Source organism: Homo sapiens, chromosome 1, assembly GCF_000001405.40.
Source record: "Homo sapiens chromosome 1, GRCh38.p14 Primary Assembly".
Lineage (NCBI taxonomy): Eukaryota > Metazoa > Chordata > Mammalia > Primates > Hominidae > Homo > Homo sapiens.
The window spans coordinates 27,535,875-27,558,248 of record NC_000001.11 but is presented as its reverse complement, the minus strand read 5'-3'; the positions used below and the strand labels follow the sequence as shown (position 1 = coordinate 27,558,248).

General features: G+C 56.9%; 1 protein-coding gene across 26 annotated transcripts in view, besides 5 other annotated features; it reads left to right on the top strand.

The window, feature by feature from the left end:
• Window positions 1-22,374, top strand: part of AHDC1 (AT-hook DNA binding motif containing 1) — a 69,983-nt gene that overhangs the window by 45,979 nt on the left and 1,630 nt on the right. For 15 of the 26 annotated variants that reach the window (XM_047418019.1, XM_047418022.1, XM_047418017.1 and 12 more), the window contains 3 exons: window positions 5,064-5,175; window positions 5,320-5,357; window positions 6,060-10,988. In XM_047418019.1, coding sequence (XP_047273975.1) covers window positions 6,134-10,945 — 4,812 coding nt within the window. In that variant the 5' untranslated portion in view covers window positions 5,064-5,175; window positions 5,320-5,357; window positions 6,060-6,133 and the 3' untranslated portion in view covers window positions 10,946-10,988. Of the gene's footprint in view, window positions 1-4,944; window positions 5,176-5,319; window positions 5,358-6,059; window positions 10,989-12,927; window positions 12,994-22,374 lie in introns of all 26 variants that reach the window. The other 11 variants (XM_047418013.1, XM_047418021.1, XM_047418012.1 and 8 more) reach the window with 3 other exon arrangements.
• Window positions 678-767: an enhancer, noted in NCBI's record as "active region_556". NCBI's record gives its function as "activates an Ori minimal core promoter by ATAC-STARR-seq in GM12878 lymphoblastoid cells {active_cell/tissue: GM12878}" and the evidence as "EXISTENCE:reporter gene assay evidence [ECO:0000049][PMID:35858748]".
• Window positions 2,279-2,834: an enhancer, noted in NCBI's record as "H3K4me1 hESC enhancer chr1:27881926-27882481 (GRCh37/hg19 assembly coordinates)". NCBI's record gives its function as "activates a minimal SCP1, AML or CMV promoter by ChIP-STARR-seq in primed H9 embryonic stem cells {active_cell/tissue: H9 hESC(primed)}" and the evidence as "EXISTENCE:reporter gene assay evidence [ECO:0000049][PMID:30033119]".
• Window positions 14,715-15,232: an enhancer, noted in NCBI's record as "H3K27ac-H3K4me1 hESC enhancer chr1:27869528-27870045 (GRCh37/hg19 assembly coordinates)". NCBI's record gives its function as "activates a minimal SCP1, AML or CMV promoter by ChIP-STARR-seq in naive and primed H9 embryonic stem cells {active_cell/tissue: H9 hESC(naive and primed)}" and the evidence as "EXISTENCE:reporter gene assay evidence [ECO:0000049][PMID:30033119]".
• Window positions 15,233-15,751: an enhancer, noted in NCBI's record as "H3K27ac-H3K4me1 hESC enhancer chr1:27869009-27869527 (GRCh37/hg19 assembly coordinates)". NCBI's record gives its function as "activates a minimal SCP1, AML or CMV promoter by ChIP-STARR-seq in naive and primed H9 embryonic stem cells {active_cell/tissue: H9 hESC(naive and primed)}" and the evidence as "EXISTENCE:reporter gene assay evidence [ECO:0000049][PMID:30033119]".
• Window positions 20,108-20,709: an enhancer, noted in NCBI's record as "H3K27ac-H3K4me1 hESC enhancer chr1:27864051-27864652 (GRCh37/hg19 assembly coordinates)". NCBI's record gives its function as "activates a minimal SCP1, AML or CMV promoter by ChIP-STARR-seq in naive H9 embryonic stem cells {active_cell/tissue: H9 hESC(naive)}" and the evidence as "EXISTENCE:reporter gene assay evidence [ECO:0000049][PMID:30033119]".

Genomic DNA, 22,374 nt, shown 5'->3' with positions numbered 1-22,374 from the left:
AGGGAGGGGGCGGGGGCAGTGGCAGGACCCACCTCCCTACTCCTGGCCCAGGTTAGCCCACCCAGGCTCAGGAGCTGCAGAGCCAGGTGAAGCTGCCCTGCCCTGCAGAGGCAACTCCCTGAACTGACACATGAAGCCTGCGGCTCCAGGAAGCTCCCTAGAGCTGAGCCTGCCTGGGGACCCCACCCTACTTCCAAAGGAGCATTCCTGGGGCCTGAGGTCTGGGGGTGGAGTCTCCTGGGATTGTAAGGGTGGGGAGGTACAGCTGTGGGAGGATGCGAGGCTGTGTGTATCCGAATGTAAATGTACAGGGCACTCAAGCTTGTGTGCAAGCAGGTGTGTGTGGAAGGCTCTGTCCTTCCGTGCACATGGGGTAATATACAAGAGTTGTGTAAGTGGACTGGGCTGGGGAGCGTTCAAGGGCTGTGTATGTGGTACCCGGAAGTATGAATATGCAGGATTCTGGGTGTGTACTGGGCAGGTGTGGGGATACTGTGTGTGCCACACTGGATGTCATGTGTGCAAGGGTGCTAGTGTACACTGGAGAGATGTGTGTATAGACAAGATCTGAATACACTGCGATGGTACGGTGTATGCACACGGGGATCTGTGTGTACACTGGCTAAGTGTGTGCTCAGGGTTCTGGGTGCACAGTGGGAGTGATGTGCACATGTGGCTCCATTTGTGCTTTGGAGGTGGGTTGGGCAAGCCTTGAGCTGAGCTGGGCTCAGCAGTGCCCAGCCTTGTGGCCAAATTGCTGAAGTCACTTCCTTTCCAGCAGCAACTTTCCAGGAGGAGGAGTTCTTCAGACCTGGGCGGGGAGCGGGGGGGCGTGGAACAAGGAGCTCTCTGGGGAAGGAGGTGGGCGGGGGTGAGAGGCTGCAGGGAAGGCCTAGTGGGGCTGGAGGAGGGGAGTCCTCCGGGAGACAGAAGGAAAGACAAGGACGGGAGTCTGGAAGGGCCAAGGGCAGGAGGGGAGGGGGGCGGAGCAGGGCGGGAAGCTTAGTCCCTGGGTGACCTCGGAGGGAGGAAGGGAGGGCCGCCGGCAGGGTGACCCTCGGGTCCAGCCAGAGCTGGCGGTGGCGCCCACACACCTGGCACCCAGGGCAGGGGGCTGGCAGGGGGCGGTTCTGGGGCAGACCTGCTTGCCAGGTGCCCTGTTCCAGGGAGGAAGGGGGTGGGCGAGGGTTGCACAAAGGAGCTCTGTGTGGCTGGGGGTAGGGTGGGGTGGGGTGTGCACTGCTGTGCTGTGCTGTGGGGGGGCCCTGATGGCCCCAGGGGGCGGGGCAGGGCCAGCTCCCCTTGGGGGCATCAGTGGCTCCAAGGGGACACCTAGTGGCGAGGGAGAGTAGTGCATCTAGTTGGATGGCTGTTGGTGGGAGGTGGTGACTAGAAGCTGAGAGGAGGATAGATTAGAAGTCAAAAATTAGAACTGATGGTTGGGACTAGGACCGTTGTAGGAGGCTGCAGGGGAGGGCGCTGAATCTCTGGACACCAAAGAAGTTTGATTTACAGAAGCCCAACCTAAATTCAGACACCAGCTTAATTGAATGAGATGGCTGTTTGTTCTTAAGGGCATAACTTAACCTCTCTGTGCCTCTATTTAAATGATGCCAAATGAGTGACAGCTGCCATTATTATTGCCATCATTGTTATTTGTATTATGATATTGTGCCTGGGATCAGGTTGAAAGAAGATATTCAGGTGTTACTGTGTGGGCAGGTAGGCGGCTGAAGGGAAGGAGGTGGACAGAGGTGATGACTAGTCCCTGAGGGACAGATCCTGAGAGATAAGGCCCCTGGAGGAAAAGGGAGGTGATGGGAAGGTCTCAGAGCAGCAGTAATGGCCCCTTTGATGCAGTGTTTTCCATTTGAGGACATCCCAGGGCCTTCGAACCAGGCTGGGAGGGAAATGGTGGGGGAGGAGGAGTGTGCAAGCTGGAGAGAGGGTCATGAGGCCGGAAGTGAGAGCTGGGGCTGGCAGCCTGGCTCCCCTGGGGAGGCAGTGGGTGGGGGAGGGGAAGGAGGGCTGGGGAAGGGGTGGGGTGGTCACAGCCACAGCCGGGGAGGGTGGGGCTGGGGACTCAAGGATGTGGGCTGGCGCTTCCCGGCACTGTGCACAGCAGGTTGGGGCCCCCAGCCCCCTCCCAACCAGCTGGTGTCCCTATGGGCAAGCTCAGACACACTGACCCAACAGCAGACAGGCAGACAGAAGTACCCCTTTGACTTTGTCCACAGACCAGGGCTAGGTGGTACCCTTGGGAGGGGTCCAAGAGAATGGCCGCCGGGGTGTGGTGAGGAGGGGAGCCAGCTGTTTCCCTCAGATCCTGGAGGCTGCAAAAGAGAGCAGTGGCCAGCCTCAGGAGGCCTGGCAGGAGGACGTGCCCAGAGGTCTTCACGGGTGGGTTGAACAGAAGCCACCACCGGAGAGGAGGTTTTTCTCTTCTGCCAAGATCACACCCTCAGGCCCCAGCTGGGAGGTCTCCAGGGCGGGGAAGGCTCGGCTAGCCTGACCCTCAGTAAGGGAGGGAGGGAGGGGGCTTCTGGTGGGCATCTCCAAGTGGGTGCCAGGAGCCACGGCCCAACCACACTGTTGGAAATTGGACTTGGAGGTTCCAGAGTCTGAGCCCCTTTTCTCGTTTGTGAGGGTGTCACCCACTGTCCTCCCTGTGAGGGCAACAGTGCTCCAAGTTCTTGGACTAGAGAGATCCTGACCTGGGAGGGGCCAGGTCCACAGCCAGGCCTGGGAGAGAGCAAAGTAGGTGGGACCAGTAGGTGGGACAACGAGGAGCAGCTGAGTCCTGGAGCCTGCAGAGAGAGAAGGAACAGTGGATAGAGGGATGTTCCACCTGGGTGGGCAACCAAAGGGCCCCTTCCTGTGCCATTTTGTGACCTCGGACAAAGTCTCTTTCCCTCTTCAAGTCTCAGTTTCCTCATCTGTAAAATGGGAGGGGCATGAGATGGCACTAGAAAGTGTCCCCACTGGGGTAGCTGGTTAAAAATACAGATTCCCAGATGTCCCTTCACATCTATGAGTCACATTCCCCTGGACTAGGGCCTGGGTATCTGGAATGTTACACAGCTCCCCCAGGCCCAGGCTTTGGAAGCCAATGGGTTAGATAATTTTAAGGTTCCTCCCAGCCTTAAATTAGACCACGGCGCTAGAAGGAGCATTTTCAGAAGTGGCTGAAGGATTGTTACAGGAGCTGGGAGTGGAAGGAGGCTTTGGACTTAAGGCAGAATTAGAAATCCTGCCTCTTAGCAGCTATGTGACTTCAGGCAAGTTACACATACACTCTGAGCCAGTTTCCCCTGTAACATGGGGATAATAAATCATGCCTCCCAGGCTGCTGTGAGGATTCAGTGGGTCACAGATGTGTAGGTGCTTTGTAGATTGCAAATCGCTGTCCCCCAAAGGGGAGTAGAGAAGTGTCTCTTTCTACTTTATCCTGTCCCCGAGTCAGCTCTGCAGTCTTCCTGTGGGGTGACAGCATGGGTAGGTGGGGAGAATCTACATGGGTCTGTGGCACATAGGTCCCAGGGATCCAGTACTAGGTCAGAGCCAAACATTAGGCAGTGAACAAGGTCAGTCTTTAAGACCCTCACAGTGTTGGGGTCCATTCAGCTCCCTGCTCCCTGAGATCCCGGCTCCTGGGATCAGCCATGGCCCTGAGTCCTCAGGCTTCTTTGGGAGTCAGACATGCCTGGATCTAAATCCCAGCTCTGCCCTGACCAGCTCAGGGAGTCAGTCGGTAAATATTTATGTAGCATTCATAGCCCAGGCCCCAGGGTCAGGTGATACAGCGATAAACAAGACAGATGTGATCCCTGCTCCTGAAGAGCCCACACTCTTGTGGGGGACACACTAAACAGCCAGTCACGCAAGTAATTGATTATAGTTGCAATGAATACTATGAAGGTGAAATACATAGGGCTCTGAGAGGATGTAGCAGGGGCCAGGACAAGGCCAGAGGTAGGATGGAGCAGCAGAGTTTTTCCGATGAAGGTGGAAGAAGGATCAGAGAATGTCCCTTTTCACATTCTTAGGTCCCTCTCTCAGCATCCTTCTTGGGTCTGGAGAAGAAGAAAGAGCCTCAAGGGAAAAGGCAGGGTTGATTGCTTTGCGTACCTCATTTGTGTGCGTTCATTCATGCAACAAACTTTTTTAATTTAATGTTTTGGAGAAAGGATCTCACTCTGCTGCCCAGGCTGGAGAACAATGGCACGATCATAGCTCAGAGCAGCCAGCCTCAACCTCCTGGGCTCAAGTGATCCTCCCACCTCAGCCTCTTGAGTAGCTGGGACTACAGGTGTGCACCACCATGCCCAGCTAATTTTTAAATTTTTGTAGGGACGAGGTCACGCTATGTTACCCAGGCTGGTCTCGAACTCCTGGACTCAAGCGATCCTCCTGCCTCAGCCTCCCAAAGTGCTGGGATTACAGGTGTGAGCCCCTGCGCCTGGCCAAACAGCTGTTTTTTTTTAAGCGCTGCTGTAGGCCATGTGCTGTTCTGAGTGTTGGGAAATACATATAGTGGTGAATAGGACAGATATCCTTGCTTTTATGGTGTTTACCATCTTCCAGGGGGTAGTTTCTGTAAGACTGGGGAGGATAATCATATTGATCTCATGTTTGTCTGGGGAATTTGATGAGATAATCTATATAAAGTGCTTGGCCCAGTGTTTGGCAACAGAAAATGTCCCCAAACTATGGGCTTTTATTGTTGACTCCCGGTGTGATTGCTCTGACCTCAGGCATCTTCACTTTTTCTTTGCAGCTCTTATCCCACTAGTAATTAAGTCATTTATAATGATCTGATCAGTGTCTGTCTGTCCAGTCCTTGTCCAAAGTAGGTACTTTATAACTAATGAGTGTATGAATGAATGATGTTACTTTTATCTCTGAGCCTCCATTTCTTCATCTGCAAAATGGGGTTATTAATAGCCCCTACCTCACAGGATTGGTATGAAGAATTAAATGAAACGATGCCTGGACAGCTTCCAGCCCAGTACCTGGCGCGCAGTAGGTGCTCACTAAACCTGAGCTGCGATGGTCCTTTCCAGGCGCTGTCCACGCCCCGAGGCCTGGGCTCAGGCCGAAGTTGCTCCACAGCACCCCCAGCTGACAGCCAGCGACTGGCAGAGCCCCCAGGCACGGGGGCCCTCTCTCTTCCAGGTCAGCCGGGTGTCTGCGCTGGACAGAGCGCTGAGGGAGCCGGGGGTGGTACCTGGAGGAGGCTGGGCCGGTGGGCAGGGGTTGAGCTGTGGCCACCAGACCATTTGGGGAATTCAGATCTATTGCCCGTCTTGTTGCCCACAGAGATCTCCAGTGTGACAGCCCAGGCGGCAGAGCCGAGGGTGAGTGGTGGGGGTTCTCCTGGAGCCCTTTCGGGGTAAGAAGGAGGGAGGCCGTGCCCTTGTTAGAACTTCCTGGCCTTCTCCTTAAGTTTGATCACCCTGCTGATGTGCTTCCCTCTCAAAGGCAGGGGTCCTGTTCTTCCTGAGTGCATAGCCAGATTCCCAAAGGGGATGAGCTGTCAATAAGTGAAACTGGGCCGGGCATGGTGGCTCACGCCTGTAATCCCAGTATTTTGGGAGGCTGAGGCAAGTGGATCATCTGAGGTCAGGAGCTCCAGACCAGCCTGGCCAACTTGGTGAAACCCCGTCTCTACTAAAATACAAAAATTAGCCAGGTGTGGTGGCGCATGCCTGTAATCCCAGGTGCTTGGGAGGCTGACACCTGAGAATCGCTTGCACTAGGAGGCGGAGGTTGCAGTGAGCTGAGATCACGCTGCTTCACTCTAGCCTGGGCGACAGAGTGAGACTCTCTTCCAAAAAAAAAAAAAAAAGTGAAACTGGGCCCATGAGGGGCTCACTATACACATGGTGGTTTGAGAAAGGCTGGGAGTCAGCAAGGGGATGGGGCTTGGGGTGGGGAGGGGAGCTTGGTAAGGAGATGAGACCTCAGGAGGGAGGGGTCCAGGAGCTCATCAAGGATATGGGAAGCTGATGAGGATGTAGGTGTTCAGTAAGGGACCTCCTGCTCTTCCTGCCTGGCAGGTCCTGGTCCCGGCTTCTCGCACCCTCATGTCAGCCCCGGCCCCGCCCGGCGGCCTGCGGAGGACAAGGTCAGGATGCGTGTGAAGCCCCAGGGCCTGGTGGTGACTTCCAGTGCCGTGTGCAGCTCTCCTGACTACCTCCGGGAACCCAAGTACTACCCCGGCGGCCCCCCCACCCCCCGGCCCCTGCTTCCCACCCGGCCCCCTGCCAGCCCACCTGACAAGGCCTTCTCCACCCACGCCTTCTCCGAGAACCCACGCCCACCCCCACGCCGGGACCCCAGCACCCGGCGCCCACCAGTCCTTGCCAAGGGGGACGACCCGCTGCCCCCACGGGCAGCCCGTCCTGTCTCACAGGCCCGCTGCCCCACACCGGTCGGAGACGGCAGCAGCTCCCGACGCTGCTGGGACAACGGGCGGGTGAACCTGCGACCAGTGGTGCAGCTGATTGACATCATGAAGGACCTGACACGCCTCTCCCAGGACCTGCAGCACAGTGGTGTACACCTGGACTGTGGTGGGCTCCGACTGAGCCGCCCGCCTGCACCGCCACCCGGCGACCTACAGTACAGCTTCTTCTCCTCACCCAGTTTGGCCAACAGCATCCGTAGCCCTGAGGAGCGGGCCACCCCACACGCCAAGTCGGAGCGGCCCAGCCATCCCCTCTACGAGCCTGAGCCTGAGCCTAGGGACAGTCCCCAGCCTGGCCAAGGCCATAGTCCCGGAGCCACGGCTGCGGCCACGGGTCTGCCCCCAGAGCCTGAGCCAGACAGCACTGATTACTCAGAACTTGCTGACGCCGACATCCTTAGTGAGCTGGCCTCCCTCACTTGCCCAGAGGCCCAGCTGCTAGAGGCCCAGGCCCTCGAGCCACCATCGCCCGAGCCGGAGCCTCAGCTCCTGGACCCCCAGCCCCGCTTCCTGGACCCGCAGGCACTAGAGCCGCTCGGGGAAGCTCTGGAGCTGCCACCCCTGCAACCTCTTGCTGATCCTCTGGGGCTGCCGGGCCTGGCTCTCCAGGCCCTGGACACCCTGCCTGACTCCTTGGAGTCGCAGCTGCTTGACCCCCAGGCACTCGACCCCCTGCCCAAGCTGCTTGACGTCCCAGGTCGCCGTCTGGAGCCCCAGCAGCCCCTGGGGCACTGCCCACTGGCCGAGCCCTTGCGCCTGGACTTGTGCTCACCGCACGGCCCCCCCGGGCCTGAGGGTCACCCCAAGTACGCCTTGCGGCGCACTGATAGGCCAAAGATCCTGTGTCGCCGGCGGAAAGCCGGACGGGGACGCAAGGCAGACGCCGGACCCGAGGGCCGCCTACTGCCCCTGCCTATGCCCACGGGGCTGGTGGCTGCCCTGGCCGAACCCCCACCACCACCGCCTCCTCCACCCCCTGCCCTGCCAGGCCCAGGCCCGGTCTCAGTCCCAGAGTTGAAGCCGGAATCTTCCCAGACCCCAGTGGTCTCTACCCGCAAAGGCAAGTGCCGGGGCGTGCGGCGCATGGTGGTGAAGATGGCCAAGATCCCCGTATCGCTGGGGCGGCGGAACAAGACCACATACAAAGTGTCTTCCTTGAGCAGCAGCCTGAGCGTGGAGGGCAAGGAGCTGGGCCTGCGCGTGTCGGCTGAGCCCACCCCGCTGCTGAAGATGAAGAACAATGGGCGGAACGTGGTAGTGGTCTTCCCACCCGGTGAGATGCCCATTATTCTCAAACGTAAGCGCGGCCGCCCTCCTAAGAACCTGCTGCTGGGTCCCGGCAAGCCCAAGGAGCCAGCTGTGGTGGCGGCCGAGGCAGCCACTGTGGCAGCGGCCACCATGGCCATGCCAGAGGTAAAAAAACGACGGCGGCGGAAGCAGAAGCTGGCATCTCCCCAGCCATCCTATGCAGCAGACGCCAACGACAGCAAGGCCGAGTACTCAGACGTCCTGGCCAAGCTGGCCTTCCTGAACCGCCAGAGCCAGTGCGCTGGACGGTGCTCACCGCCCCGCTGCTGGACACCCAGTGAGCCGGAGTCGGTGCACCAGGCCCCCGACACCCAGAGCATCTCCCACTTCCTGCATCGTGTGCAGGGCTTCCGGCGGCGTGGGGGCAAAGCAGGCGGTTTTGGTGGCCGGGGTGGGGGCCATGCGGCCAAGTCAGCCCGATGCTCCTTCAGTGACTTCTTTGAGGGCATCGGCAAGAAAAAGAAGGTGGTGGCCGTGGCAGCCGCTGGGGTCGGGGGCCCGGGCCTTACTGAGTTGGGGCACCCACGCAAACGGGGCCGGGGGGAGGTAGACGCTGTGACTGGGAAGCCAAAGCGCAAGAGACGGTCCCGGAAGAATGGGACTCTGTTCCCAGAGCAGGTGCCCAGTGGCCCAGGCTTTGGGGAGGCAGGTGCTGAGTGGGCCGGGGATAAGGGTGGTGGCTGGGCCCCTCACCATGGGCACCCAGGCGGACAAGCTGGCCGAAACTGTGGGTTTCAGGGGACCGAGGCCCGGGCCTTTGCCTCCACTGGGCTGGAGAGTGGAGCCTCAGGCCGTGGCAGCTACTACAGCACGGGTGCACCCTCAGGCCAGACCGAGCTCAGCCAGGAGCGCCAAAACCTCTTCACCGGCTACTTTCGCTCGCTGCTCGATTCGGATGACTCCTCCGATCTCTTGGACTTTGCCCTCTCAGCCTCTCGCCCAGAGTCCCGGAAGGCATCGGGCACCTATGCAGGGCCACCCACCAGTGCCCTGCCTGCCCAGCGGGGCCTGGCCACCTTCCCTAGCCGGGGAGCCAAGGCCAGCCCAGTGGCAGTGGGTAGCAGCGGGGCTGGGGCGGACCCCTCCTTTCAGCCTGTCCTGTCCGCGCGCCAGACCTTCCCACCAGGACGAGCAGCAAGCTATGGGCTAACTCCAGCCGCTTCAGACTGCCGGGCAGCCGAGACCTTCCCCAAGCTGGTGCCCCCGCCCTCAGCCATGGCCCGCTCACCTACCACCCACCCGCCTGCCAACACCTACCTGCCCCAGTACGGCGGCTATGGGGCCGGACAAAGCGTATTCGCCCCAACTAAGCCCTTTACAGGCCAGGACTGCGCTAACAGCAAGGACTGCAGCTTCGCCTATGGCAGTGGCAACAGCCTCCCTGCCTCACCCAGCAGCGCCCACAGCGCCGGCTATGCCCCACCGCCTACCGGGGGCCCCTGCCTGCCACCAAGCAAGGCCTCCTTCTTCAGCAGCTCTGAGGGGGCCCCCTTCTCTGGTTCAGCCCCCACGCCCCTGCGCTGTGACAGCCGGGCCAGCACAGTCTCGCCCGGTGGCTACATGGTACCCAAGGGCACCACAGCCTCTGCCACCTCTGCAGCCTCTGCCGCCTCCTCCTCCTCCTCCTCCTTCCAGCCCTCGCCCGAGAACTGTCGGCAGTTTGCGGGGGCTTCTCAGTGGCCTTTCCGGCAGGGCTATGGAGGCCTGGACTGGGCCTCAGAGGCCTTTAGTCAGCTCTACAATCCCAGTTTTGACTGCCACGTCAGCGAGCCCAACGTGATCCTGGACATCTCCAACTACACACCGCAGAAGGTGAAGCAGCAGACGGCTGTGTCGGAGACCTTCTCTGAGTCATCCTCCGACAGCACCCAGTTCAATCAGCCGGTTGGTGGCGGGGGGTTTCGGCGTGCCAACAGCGAGGCCTCAAGTAGTGAGGGCCAGTCGAGCCTGTCCAGCCTGGAGAAACTGATGATGGACTGGAACGAGGCATCATCTGCCCCCGGCTACAACTGGAACCAGAGTGTCCTCTTTCAGAGTAGCTCCAAGCCGGGCCGTGGACGGCGGAAGAAGGTGGACCTGTTCGAGGCCTCACATCTGGGCTTCCCGACATCCGCCTCTGCCGCTGCCTCAGGCTACCCATCCAAACGGAGCACTGGGCCCCGGCAGCCGCGAGGTGGACGGGGCGGTGGGGCCTGCTCAGCCAAGAAGGAGCGGGGTGGCGCAGCGGCCAAAGCCAAGTTCATCCCCAAGCCACAGCCAGTCAACCCACTGTTCCAGGACAGTCCTGACCTCGGCCTGGACTACTATAGCGGGGACAGCAGCATGTCACCACTGCCCTCACAGTCGAGGGCCTTCGGCGTGGGAGAGCGAGACCCCTGTGACTTCATAGGACCCTACTCCATGAACCCGTCCACGCCTTCCGATGGCACCTTTGGCCAAGGCTTCCACTGCGACTCGCCCAGCCTGGGTGCTCCCGAGCTTGATGGCAAGCATTTCCCACCGCTGGCCCACCCACCCACGGTGTTTGACGCCGGCCTGCAGAAGGCATACTCGCCCACCTGCTCGCCTACACTGGGCTTCAAGGAAGAGCTGCGGCCACCGCCCACAAAGCTGGCTGCCTGCGAGCCCCTCAAGCATGGACTCCAGGGGGCCAGCCTGGGCCACGCAGCTGCAGCCCAGGCCCACCTGAGCTGCCGGGACCTGCCGCTGGGCCAGCCCCACTACGATTCCCCCAGCTGCAAGGGCACAGCCTATTGGTACCCTCCAGGCTCAGCTGCCCGCAGCCCGCCCTATGAAGGCAAGGTGGGTACAGGGCTGCTGGCTGACTTCCTGGGCAGGACGGAGGCCGCGTGCCTCAGTGCCCCTCACCTGGCTAGCCCACCAGCCACGCCCAAGGCCGACAAGGAGCCACTGGAAATGGCCCGGCCCCCTGGCCCACCCCGTGGCCCTGCTGCAGCCGCTGCTGGCTATGGCTGCCCACTCCTTAGTGACTTGACCCTGTCCCCCGTGCCGAGGGACTCGCTGCTGCCCCTGCAGGACACCGCCTACAGGTACCCAGGCTTTATGCCCCAGGCGCATCCTGGCCTGGGTGGGGGCCCCAAGAGCGGCTTCCTGGGGCCCATGGCGGAACCTCACCCCGAGGACACATTCACCGTCACATCCCTGTAGTGCCAACTGAAGTGCCGACTGGACCGCGAGGTTTTGTTCCTGGGTGAGTCTGGGGATGTGGGCGCAGTGGGCAGAGGCCTGGGGGTGGGAAGAGGACATCAGAGCTTAGGCAAGGACAGAGGTATGGAGTGCAGGAAGCAAATGCAGGATTTAAGGGCAAGGCTGGGGACTGAGAGCAGGGTGTAGGGATTCAGGATTCGCTGTTGCGGACAGTCTCAGGAGGAGATGGGGTGCTTGGGCTGGGAACTCAGCAGGGGGCTTGAACGTTCGGGGGGGTCTTGTGAATTGAAATGGCCAGAGGACTACACACTGGATGGGGCCCTGTAGTTTGGTTTATTAAGCTTTCAATTATTTGTTCATGCTATGTCTTGGGCAGGAAGTGAGTATTTCCCAGGAAATACGCTGATAAGGGTGGGCATTTGTATCGCCCTGTGTGAGACAGGTGAAGGGAGAAGCAGGTTGGACGGTCGTCTACCCAGGGCCTATCCAGAGGACCAGCCCTGCTGGCACCCCCATTTCCCTGGGAGCTTCACTGATTCTAAGAGGCAGCCTGGTGAGGGCCAGGCCAAGAGTGGCCAGTGTGGCGTGGTCACACACTCTGCAAGGGCTTCACAGGATGGTCCAAAATGTCCTCTCTTGGCCTCCCAAGGTACCCCCAAAGGCTATTTTCCAACATCTTTGGTCTGAGATAGGCTAGGTGTGGCCAGGAGCATGTGGGGTAGGGACCCAGAAGTGGAGAAGGGGTGCTGGGGTCCCACTGTCCCTGCAAACCTGCAGCCAGTGAGGCTATCTTCAGGCAAAGGTATTTTGACCCTAGAAAAGCCAGTCCCTTTCCTGAAGCCAAAGACTTTTCTGAGAGTTCAGTTAAAGAGTGTTAAATGTTTTGATACTGTTTTTATCAGGTACTGTGACCTCATTAGTTGGAGTCAGTTTTAGTATTCTCAAGATTTGGTGTTTTAAAAAAGGAAAATAAAAGACAGAAAATGCCCCCAAAATGATCAAAGGGAACAAGGTTGAAGGAGCCATCTTCTTGAAGAACAGCCTGCTCCCGAAATACAGCCGCCACTGGCCCCACTTTTGGACAACAGATCTGTCACAAAATTGGCCCAGATGTGGTGGTTGGTGATGGGGCAGACTGGGGGCATGCCTGCGTCCCTCACCCTTCACCTCTGCTGCCACTGAAGCTTCCTGGGAGTTTCTCTTCCTGGAGGAGTAGCTGGGCTCCTGGAAAGTCCCATCCGTGCTCTGGGAGGCCATTCAAGGCCAGGGTGACTCAGGGTCCTGAAGTCATGTCAGTGGAAACTTGTTGCCCCCTCTCTGCCAGACCCCAGCTCCCCTGGTGCCTGAAGGTGACAAAGGGCAGCATGCAGGAGTCCGGAGGCCTCCGGGAGGACCATTCCCAGATTGGCCACCAACTTCCCACATGCCCTTGACCAAGCTTTTGCCCCTCTCTGGGCCTCAGTTTCCCCATCTTTTCAAGGAAATTTACTTTGATAATCCCTTAGGCTCTCGCAGCTCTGCATGGCAGAGACAATGAAGCAAACTTTTTTTTTTTTTTTGGCAGCATCTTTTCCTTCCTGATGAAGCCAGGCCAAGATTAAAATGGCCTTCCATTCCCCATGCGTCTCATTGCAACCAGCAGAGCCTCAGATCTGAAGCAGGCCAGGGAGAAACTGCTTAGGGTTTAAAATGTCAAACTCTTGATCCTTCTCACTGGCGGGGAGATGTCTCATGGATAATCCAGAAATGTGAAATAATCCAAAAACCGTTCCTCCCAGGCTCTGGGTGGGAAAATGGACGGGTGTGGGGGCTGGGTGTTTGGGCAGGTCACAGCTCAGTGAAGTACATAATGGAACCACCCAGTGAGGCCTGAACGCAGGAGGAACTGGGATGCCATCCAGCCCCACATTCTGGCCCTGCTCCCCACTCAGGGCTGTGAGTTAACTGCGCTGTCCTCAAACCAATGCATTCCATTGTTCTAGAGACATCTGTCCAGCACCCACTAGAAGCCAGGCATTGGGGGCACCACAGTGAACACCACAAATGAGGTACTGGTCCTCAGGGGGCTTCCCATTTAGAGGGAAAGACAGCAAACAGTGGCATTAAGCATGTGTTGATTCCAGCTGTGGGAAGCACTGTACAAGAGAAAAAAGCTAGAAGCTTGTGAGCGCACACAGCATGCTGACCGGACCTTGAAGCTGAGGCCTGAGGAATGATGGGGCTGAACAGCTGGCGGGGAGGGGGAAGAACATTCTGGGCAGAGGGAACAGCAGTGTGGAAAGCCTGGAGGCAGGAAGGGACTCAGCTTTAAGAAACTGCCTATGGGAAGGCAGTAAAGCTAAGTGAGGGGATGAGGCAAGCGAGGCCAGATCATGCGGGGCATTAGAAGGAGTCTGAATTTCATTCCCAGACACGTGGGGATCCACTGAAGAGTTCCCTGCTGGAATTCCCCAGGCCACCGTGGAGCAGGGCTAGTGTTGAAGCAGGGAGACCAGCTGCAGTAGTCCACACATGCAGTGATGATGGCCCAGGCCAAGGTGGTGGGACGGCTGCCCCCTCTCTCTATCTAAGATGACCCACAGGCTCTAGGGCAACCCCCCAGTGCCAGGGGATGATCAAAATCACCACGGGAATGAGAAAGAGTTGGAGATACAGAGAAGGAGAGTGGCAAGGAAAAAGTTCATAGAGGGAGTTGCCACTCTCAACAGAGGGCTTAAGCAGAGAGGACAAGGACACGCTCATTCACCAATAGCAGTGAGCAGTTTTGACGCCAGGCACTGGAGAAGCAGCAGTTGAGCTTAGTTTCCCAACCTGAGCCCCTGTGTGTCCATCCAGTGCTGGGTACTGGGGAGACAAAGCAGGCATGACCCCTGTCCTCCAGTTCAGCCTCCACCCCAGGAAACTAAAACAAGTACACAAAAAACCTGAAAACACCTGGCAGAGAGTGGCAGGTGCCCAGAGGCAGTGAGAAACAAAGATTTGCTGGACAGCTGGGTGTTGTGGTCAGAAGTCAGCCCTCTGCCCCCTTGATGAGAAAAGGGACATTTGTGCTGGGCCCTTTATGTAACGCTGCCTCACTGACCCTTCACAGCAGACTATGAGGTGGGGTGTGTCTCCCCACCACAACCCCCTGCCTCCCGCCCTATCCCACATTAGAGTTGAGGAAATGGGTGCAGCTCTGAACCTTGCCCAGGGGATCCATTGGCAGATAGTGGAGCCAGGATTAGAACCCAGTACTGTCCCTCCTGAGCCTGGGTGCTCTGCCATATGGCTGCCTCTCATCTCCCCACGCCTGATTCCCCATCTGCAAAAGGATAGGTTGGATTGGACAATCCCTACACTTTTTTTTTTTTTTCTTTTTGAGATGGAGCCTCACTGTGTCGCCGAGGCTGGAGTGCAGTGGCACGATCTCGGCTCACTGCAGCCTCTGCCTCCTGGGTTCAAGCGATTCTCCTGCCTCAGCTTCCTGTAGCTGGGATTACAGGGGCGCACCACTGTGCCCAGCTAACTTTTTTGTATTTTTAGTAGAGATGGGGTTTCACCACATTGGTCAGGCTGTTCTCGAACTCCTGACCTTGTGAATCACCTGCCTCAGCCTCCCAAAGTGCTGGGATTACAGGTGTGAGCCACCGCACCCGCCCCAGTCCCCACAACTCTTGCTGGGTCTGACATCTTAAATGGATTTTGAGGTTCTGTGGAAGAAGCTGCACTGGAGCTCAACCTTCAAGAATAGGCAAGGTTTGCACACATGGAGACCGGGGGAAGGGCATTCTGGGCAGAGGGAACTGTGGGCAAAGGCAGGTCACATCCCAATGTGGATTAGAAGATAAAAGCTCAGAGGAGACAGAATGGGGAATGTGGAGCCTGACTGATCTGAGAGCTGTGGCTGATGGGACGGGGAACAGAACGGGTCAAGCAAGGAGGGGGCCTTGGCCCTGTGCAGACATCTTCTCTGGGCCTCTAGATGGAAAGTAGAGCCAGACAGACTGGCTCCACGTTGGGCCCTGTGGGCTAAAGATCGACCCTATCAGACCCTGGGGACAGGGGTGGGAGGGTATGAAGGGCCCTCCAAGGTGTTCAGGATTCTCGAGTCCCTCTCCCCTCCCTACTCCCTCTCAGGCCTGACCTGAGGCCAAGAGAAATGTCACAGGTCCTCCAAGGTTACGCGGCTAGGGCCTGACTGAAGCAGGAAGCAGTTTCCAAGGCCACCATCCAGCCGGGGTCAGCAGGCATGCCCGGGCCTGGACCAGGCCGCAGCTGCTCTGGGCTTTGTCTCTTCGTGTCTTGAAACCTCGAGAGGTCACTTGATCTTGCCTGTGACTCTGAGCAAGAGGCCTTACGTCAGGGCCCAGCCAGTCCTGCCCTGACTCTTCTGGGCACAAGTTCTTCCCCACACTCTCTGAGGCCATCCTCCCTCTGATCCTATCTCTTGCCACTCCTGCAGCCATGTTTAGGCCAGGCCTTGTTCTGAGCCCTCATTTCCTGAAAATGTAATCTCTCCACGACCATACCGACTCACCCTTCTTCTTTCTTATCTTCCCACGTCCCAGAGCAGGGCCACGGAACTGGAGGGTGGTGGCTGGGAGCCTGCCTGTGGACACAGATAGGCCTCTATGCACAACCCAGTTCCATCCCTTACCAGCTAGGTGACCTGGTGAGTCATGTCACCTGATGAGTCACGTCACCTCTCTGCATCTCTTGTGAGAATTAAATGAGATTACACGTGAAGCCCTTGGCCAGGTCCCTGGTACACAGTGAGCACGTAGTCAGCGGCTGGTGATGGGTAGGTAAATACCCGACAGAGGCTGAACTCCGGGGCCTCTGACCAGCCTGTGTGAGTCACACACCTCCAACCCTCGCCTCTTGTACCTTCATGCAGGACCATAGAGCCGGCCCTCCCTCGCCTGTGCTCCTCCTAGGAAGGAGGTTGTATTCTAGTGTGGATTTGGGGCCTTGGGGGAGGCTTTGTGATAGCACCTAGTTCTTTGCGTTAGCAATTGGGCCGAGTCCTCCCTGGAGGACCCAAGGACAAAATGACCCGGCTCAGCTAGAAATGCTGTCATCACAGTTATGCACACCAGTCCTCTCCCCCACTGCAAATATGAAAAATATTTTCTTGTGACTGTAATATGTCATGATTTTTCCCCTGGCAGTTGTGCCATCTTTGTCAGCATAACCTTTGCTGCCATAGTGCACTGCGTTTGTGCTGGAAGGCTGGGGGAAGTAGATAAATTCTGTGTTCACACACATGAGCTAGTGACCTGCTTGGGGCCAGGCATTGTATCCAGTGCTGCAGGTATCACTGAGCAAGACACACAGTGCCCTGCCCCCACAGGGCTTGCAGCCTTTTACAGGTGTTTGTTTAAAACCTCCTTGCCAGGCGCGGTGGCTCACGCCTGTAATCCCAGCACTTTGGGAGGCCGAGGGAAGAGGATCACCTGAGGTTGGGAGTTCGAGACCAGCCTGGCTAACGTGGTGAAACCCTGTCTCTACTAAAAATACGAAAATTAGCCGGGCATGATGGCAGGTGCCTGTAGTGCCAGCTACTCGGGAAGCTGAGGCAGGAGAACTGCTTGATCCCGGGAGGCGGAGGTTGCAGTGAGCCAAGATCACACCACTGCACTCCAGCCTGGGTGACAAGAGCAAAAACTCTGTCTCAAAAAAAAAAAAAAAAACCTCCACATGGGCCGGGCACAGTGGCTGATGCCTGTAATTCCAGCACTTTCAGAGGCCGAGGCGGGCAGATCACTTGAGGCCAGGAGTTTGAGACCAGCCTGGCCAACATGGTGAAACCCTGTCTCTACTAAAAACACAAAAGTTAGCCAGTTGTGGTGGTGTGTGCCTGTAGTCCCAGCTACGTGGGAGGCTGAGGCAGGAGAATTGCTTGAACCCTGGAGCCGGAGGTTGCAGTGAACTACGATCGTACCACTGCACTCCAGCCTGGGCGACAGAGCAAGACTCCGTCTCAAAAAAAATAAAAAATAAAAAATAAAAATCCTCCACATGAGCATCACTCTCTAGAACAGGGCCTGGGACACTCCCATGAGAAGGAACAGGGACCACCCTCTAAAACCGTTGTGAGCAGGGCAGGCAGCAGGAGATTCCTGGAGGCAGGAAATGGGTCTTGACAAATTTGAGACTTCAGAGGCTTTAGCTCTAGCTCAGCCACCTGGGTTTCTGGCCCCACTCCCTCCCTGCTCCAAGCACGCACCCCACCCCCAGCCCCCCAGTTCATTCTCCCCATTATGGCCACCAAAGTGCTTGGGTTTTGTTGTTGTTTTTTTTTTTTTTTTTTTTTTTTTAGCATTTTTAGATGCACAGTGTCTGGAGTCCCTAAAATATTTATTGGATGAATTGATTAAAACACATCTGCTCCTGTGACTCCATTGCTCTACACCTTCTGATTGCTTCCTTCCCTCTCCAGCCTCCTTCCTTGCCTATAAAATCAAGGCCCAGCTTCCCAGCATGGTATTCAAGGTATTCCAGGCTTCCGTCCTGGCACCCAACCTTTTTTTCAGCCCCGATCTTCCTCACACACACCCTCCCTTAACAGCCAGGAGCATGTGTGGAAACAGGAGGGAGCTCTGGGAGGGCTGGCTCCCAAAGGTGCCCCGTGCTTTTGCTGTTCCTGGCCTGGGTGGCCCTTTCCTACCCCATCTCCCACCTGTCAGTTCCTATCTTTCACTCAGACATCACTTCCTCCAAGAAGCATTCCAGGGTCCTTCTCAGGTCCAATTAATCTCTCACCCTCTCTGCATCCGTGACAGCCCTTCCTGGGAATGCCCTCCTTGCCACGCCACCAACTCCTTTAGGGCAATTACTCATCTCTGGGCACCGTCCTCCCCTCCCCCACCCAGTGTCTCATCATGCCTGGGACATTTCAGGTTTTTTTGTTTTTTTTTTTTTAACTTGAGTTGAAGAAAAGCATGTAGAATAGGGAGAATTCTAAGAGGAAAGGTTAAGCCCTGGGGAACGGGATGGGACAATTTCACCCTGTCATCAGGAAGTGCTCCTAATAGAAGGGCAGGGACAGGGTGTGTAAATAAACCAGTTCAAATTCTCAGAGCTCACTGGGCCTGTGGACCTCTCCAAGCACAATCCATCCAGTTTACAAAGAGGGAAAGGTCCTCGCCTGAGGACTCAGAGCCACCTGGTCATTGAAGCACAGAAGGTAGAGCCAGGAAGGGCCCCTGGGGATTGCCTGGTTCCATGGTTCTTGCTCTTTCCTCAGCCTCCACTTCAGTTGCATGTCCGACACAAACCCATCAGGAATGCCTGTCTTTACATATGGCATCTCCAGCTGGAGGGTGGAGAGTGGGGGAGAGAGAGAGAGAGAGAGATGGAGGAGGTGAGGCTAGCCTCCTCCCAGGACAGGTAAGGAATGTGAGGCTCTGAGAGGTGGTAGAGACACAGGGTCACACAAGGCTGGGGAACCCCATTTGGTCCTACTGCCTCACAGCTGGGGAGATGAGAAGAACCTTAAGGAGGGAATGGCTGGCAGAGCTAGAGTTTAAGGAGCACCTCTGGTCAGTAGTGGACTCACATTTGAAAAAATTCTCAGGCCGGGTGCGGTGGCTCACGCCTGTAATCCCAGCACTTTGGGAGGCCGAGGTGGGTGGATCACGAGGTCAGGAGTTCGAGACCAGCCTGACCAACATGGTGAAACCCTGTCTCTACTAAAAATACAAAAATTAGCCAGGCATGGTGGCGCACACCTGTAATCCCAGCTACTCGGGAGGCTGAGGCAGGAAAATTGCTTGAACCCAGTAGGCAGAGGTTGCAGTAAGCCAAGATTGCACTGCTGTACTCCAGCCTGGGCAACAGAGCAAGACTCCATCTCAAACAAACAAAAAAAAAATTCTCCAGGCCTGGCATGGTGGCTCACCACGCCTGCAATCCAGCACTTTGGGGTGCCGAGGTGGGAGGATCGCTTGAGCCCAGGAGTTTGAGACCAGCCTGGGCAACATAGTAAGACCCCATCTCTACAAAAATACAAACTAGACAGATGTGGTAGCATGCACATGTAGTCCCAGCTACTCAGGAGGCTGAGGTGGGAAGATCGCTTGAGCCCAGGAGTTTGAGGCTGCGGTGACCCTCGATCATGACACTGCACTGCAGCCTGGGTGACAGAGTGAGACCCTATCTCCAAAAAAAAAAAAAAAAAAGAAAAGAAAAAAAGCTTCTCTGGAGTAGAGGGAGACACAAACACAGCCTCCCCATCCCTGATTGGGAGCCTCATCGATAATTCAGTGAATTCCAGGTCCAACGGTACTTCTGCATACCAGTTGTGGGCTGAGCCCCCAGGAAGCAGTATCCTCTCCACATGGAGATGACTCACAGGCCTGGCTGCCTAAAAATGTTACAGGGATGGATCAGGCTTTGGGCCTCTGTGGTTTGCCTGTGACCCTTTGTCTTTGGGGCACCATCCCAGTGCCGGAAGATCTCTCCCATCACCTGTTCAGCTCCCTTATTTTATAGAATAGAAACTCAGGCTGCTGCAGTGGCTCACACCTGTAATCCCAGCACTTTGGGAGGCCAAGGCAGGTGGTTTGCTTGAGTTCAGGAGGTCGAGTCTAGCCTGGGCAACATGATGGAACCTTGTCTTTTCAAAAAATAAAATAATTAGCCAGGTGTGGTGATGTGCGCCTGTAGTACCAGCTACTCAAGGTGCTGAGATGGGAGGATCTCATGGGCCTGGAAGGTGGAGGTTGCAGTGAGCCGTGATTGTGCCACTGCACTCTAGCCTGGGTGATAGAGTGAGAACCTGTCTCAAAAAAAAAACAAAAAACAACCAAAAAAACCTGAAGCCCAGAGAGGGAAGGGACTTACTCTGGGTCACACAGGAAATCAGCCTCTCAAATTCTAATGCACTTTTTCTTTTCTGGTTTTTTTTTTTTTTTTTTGAGACAGTCTTGCTCTGTCACCCAGGCTGGAGTGGAGTGGCACGATCTCAGCTCACTGCAACCTCCGCTTCCTGGGTTCAAGCAATTCTCATGCCTCGGCCTCCCGAGTAGCTGGGGTTACAGGGTGTGTGCCACCACACCTGGCTAGTTTTTGTATTTTTTGTAGAGACGGGGTTTCTCCATGTTGGCCAGACTGGTCTTGAGCTCCTGAGCTCAAGAGATCCACCCACCTCGGCCTCCCAAAGTGCTGGGATTACAGGCGTGAGTCACCCTGCCCGGCCTCATGCACTCTTTTTTGCCTTCTGCTCTACTGCCTTGTTTGACATTGGACCCTTTCAAGAGAGTAGAGACTAGAGAGTAGAGGTTAGACCTTAACTCATGCCCTGGCAGCCAGTGGGCATGAATACATGTTTGCTGTTCACTTAAATGAAAGCACAAATATATATTCCTTTTCCTTTTTGGAGGAGAGCAGCCCCCTCTGGACAACCTGATTTATATGTGCTCTGCAGCACTTTGAATCTCTGCTCAGCTGTCCCTCACTGCTGCCAGTGCCAGTCCCCCCCTTGACAGGCAGAGACCACTTAATGCCCTGGCACCTCAGATGGTGAAACCACCGGAGCATGAGGACTCAGAGGAATGTGGCTCTGCAGTTGTGTGTCACGGAGGCACTAAAAGGTGAAGTCTGCAGAACAGTGGTTGGTGTGCTGGGGGCCGGTGCGTGCTAGCCCTGGGTGTGCAGCAGTACCACATATAGGTTCCTGCCCTGGAGGAGCCAGGTCGGGATGACAAGGGTACCGTAGCTATGGTAACAGGGTGGTCTAAGGAGGTGTTCTGAAGGTGTGCAAGGCCGGAGCTGGACCTTGACATGCTGACCAGACTCAGGTCAGTCCCCGCTCTGTCACTCAGTCAGCGTACGTCTTGGCCCCAGCATGTGCTGGGTAGTGTTCAGCAGTGGTTGAAGAGCCACAGTCTCTCCTGCCACGACCAGGTTAGCTGCCTCCCCAGGACCTTCCGTGGCACAGCCCCTGTCTCCCTGCGTGGTAATTACCCTGGTTTGGGGTCTGCTTTGCTTTCCCCTCTATCTGTGAGCCTCTCAAAGACAGGAACCAGATCGGTCTTGGTCTCTGCTTTGTCCCCAGTGCCTAGCACTGGGCTGCCTGGCACGTTAGTGTCTGGTCCTGCTTTGTGGAGAGCTGAACCTGGTGAGGTCAGGGTTCCACACAGCCACAGCATTCTCCCCCACCTCCATGAGAGAACCCTGGGGCTTTTGGGCTTTGATTTCCCCCCTCCCCCGCTCCTTCCCATCCCGAAGATTCTGCCAAAGTCTCTGGCTGGCCAAGTCCTGAAAGCTGGGGAGGGTAGTGGGAGGAGGAAGGTGAGACGCGATGGGCGGCTTAGCAGAGGGTGAGAAAGCCTCCTGCTGCCTGGCCGCAGGCACCGCGGGAATGGTTCTGGCAGGAGCCGCCTGCTGGGCTGAGATCACCATGGAGACCTGGCTTAGAGAGGGTCACTGGCAGTGGCTAAGGGCCTGGGGTGGGGGTGGGGGTGCAGGGATTTGTGCAGAGGCTCCCAGCCTGCCCCGGGGCCCTTGGAGGGAGCAGGGGAGGCTGGCGTTGGACAATATCAGTTTGCCAGTGGTTTGGAGCAGCCCATCCTAAAGTCCCCTTCCCTTGTCACCCCCAACACCCCAACAGAGGTTCTTTAGCTTGGCAACTGTTCTTCAACCGCAATAGAGCAGTCCTCTGGATAGATGCCCCCAGCGCTCTGGCTCAAGCAGTTACCCCAGATAAAATCATTCTGCTCCCTAATAGACACCCCTCTTGTCTCTGCAGCCTGTTTACCGCCTGACTGTGGAGAGCTTGCATTCATCCCAGCAGCAGCCCTTGCCCCAAGAGCTGCTTTTCTACCTATCACCCCATTGCAGCACAGCTGTCACCCTCCCAGGCACACCGCTCGCCCCTACGGCTAGTATTCCATCCTCCTGCAACTGCAGGCAACCTGACAGCTTAACAAAGATGCAGCTCTTCTCCTCTCCTATGCCTCTGCCTGCCACCTGGTCTGGTCCACCAGGATGAGGTGCTGCCCTGCCTCTGCAGGAGCCCACCTGGTTCCCCTGGACCTTGGGGGAGTCCTGGCAAGTCCAGCCTCAGGACAAAAGTCGTCCCCGGGGCTGACTGCCCAGCAGACAGCAGCCGAGGCTGAGCAGAATTTAAATGTGGCTCTGGTAGAAAGGGAAGCCAAGAAAGTACAAGGGAGGAGAGGCTTTCTGCCGCCGCCTGATTCCTGCTGGTGTGGGGGAGGACGGATGGGCTCCTAAGGAACCTGAGGAGGCCCTTTCAGCATCCTCACCTCGCCCTTTAATTCGGATGGAGATGGTCGCACACTGAGGGTGGGAGATGTGTGTCTCGGGGCTCTGAGAGGAGGACAGAAGTCTGAAAGGACCAGGCTAATAATGACTGGAGCTCTTAGGAAGTCCCGAGCCCATCCCTGTCCTTCAGGGGACCTTCTCACTCACCCTAGCAGAGC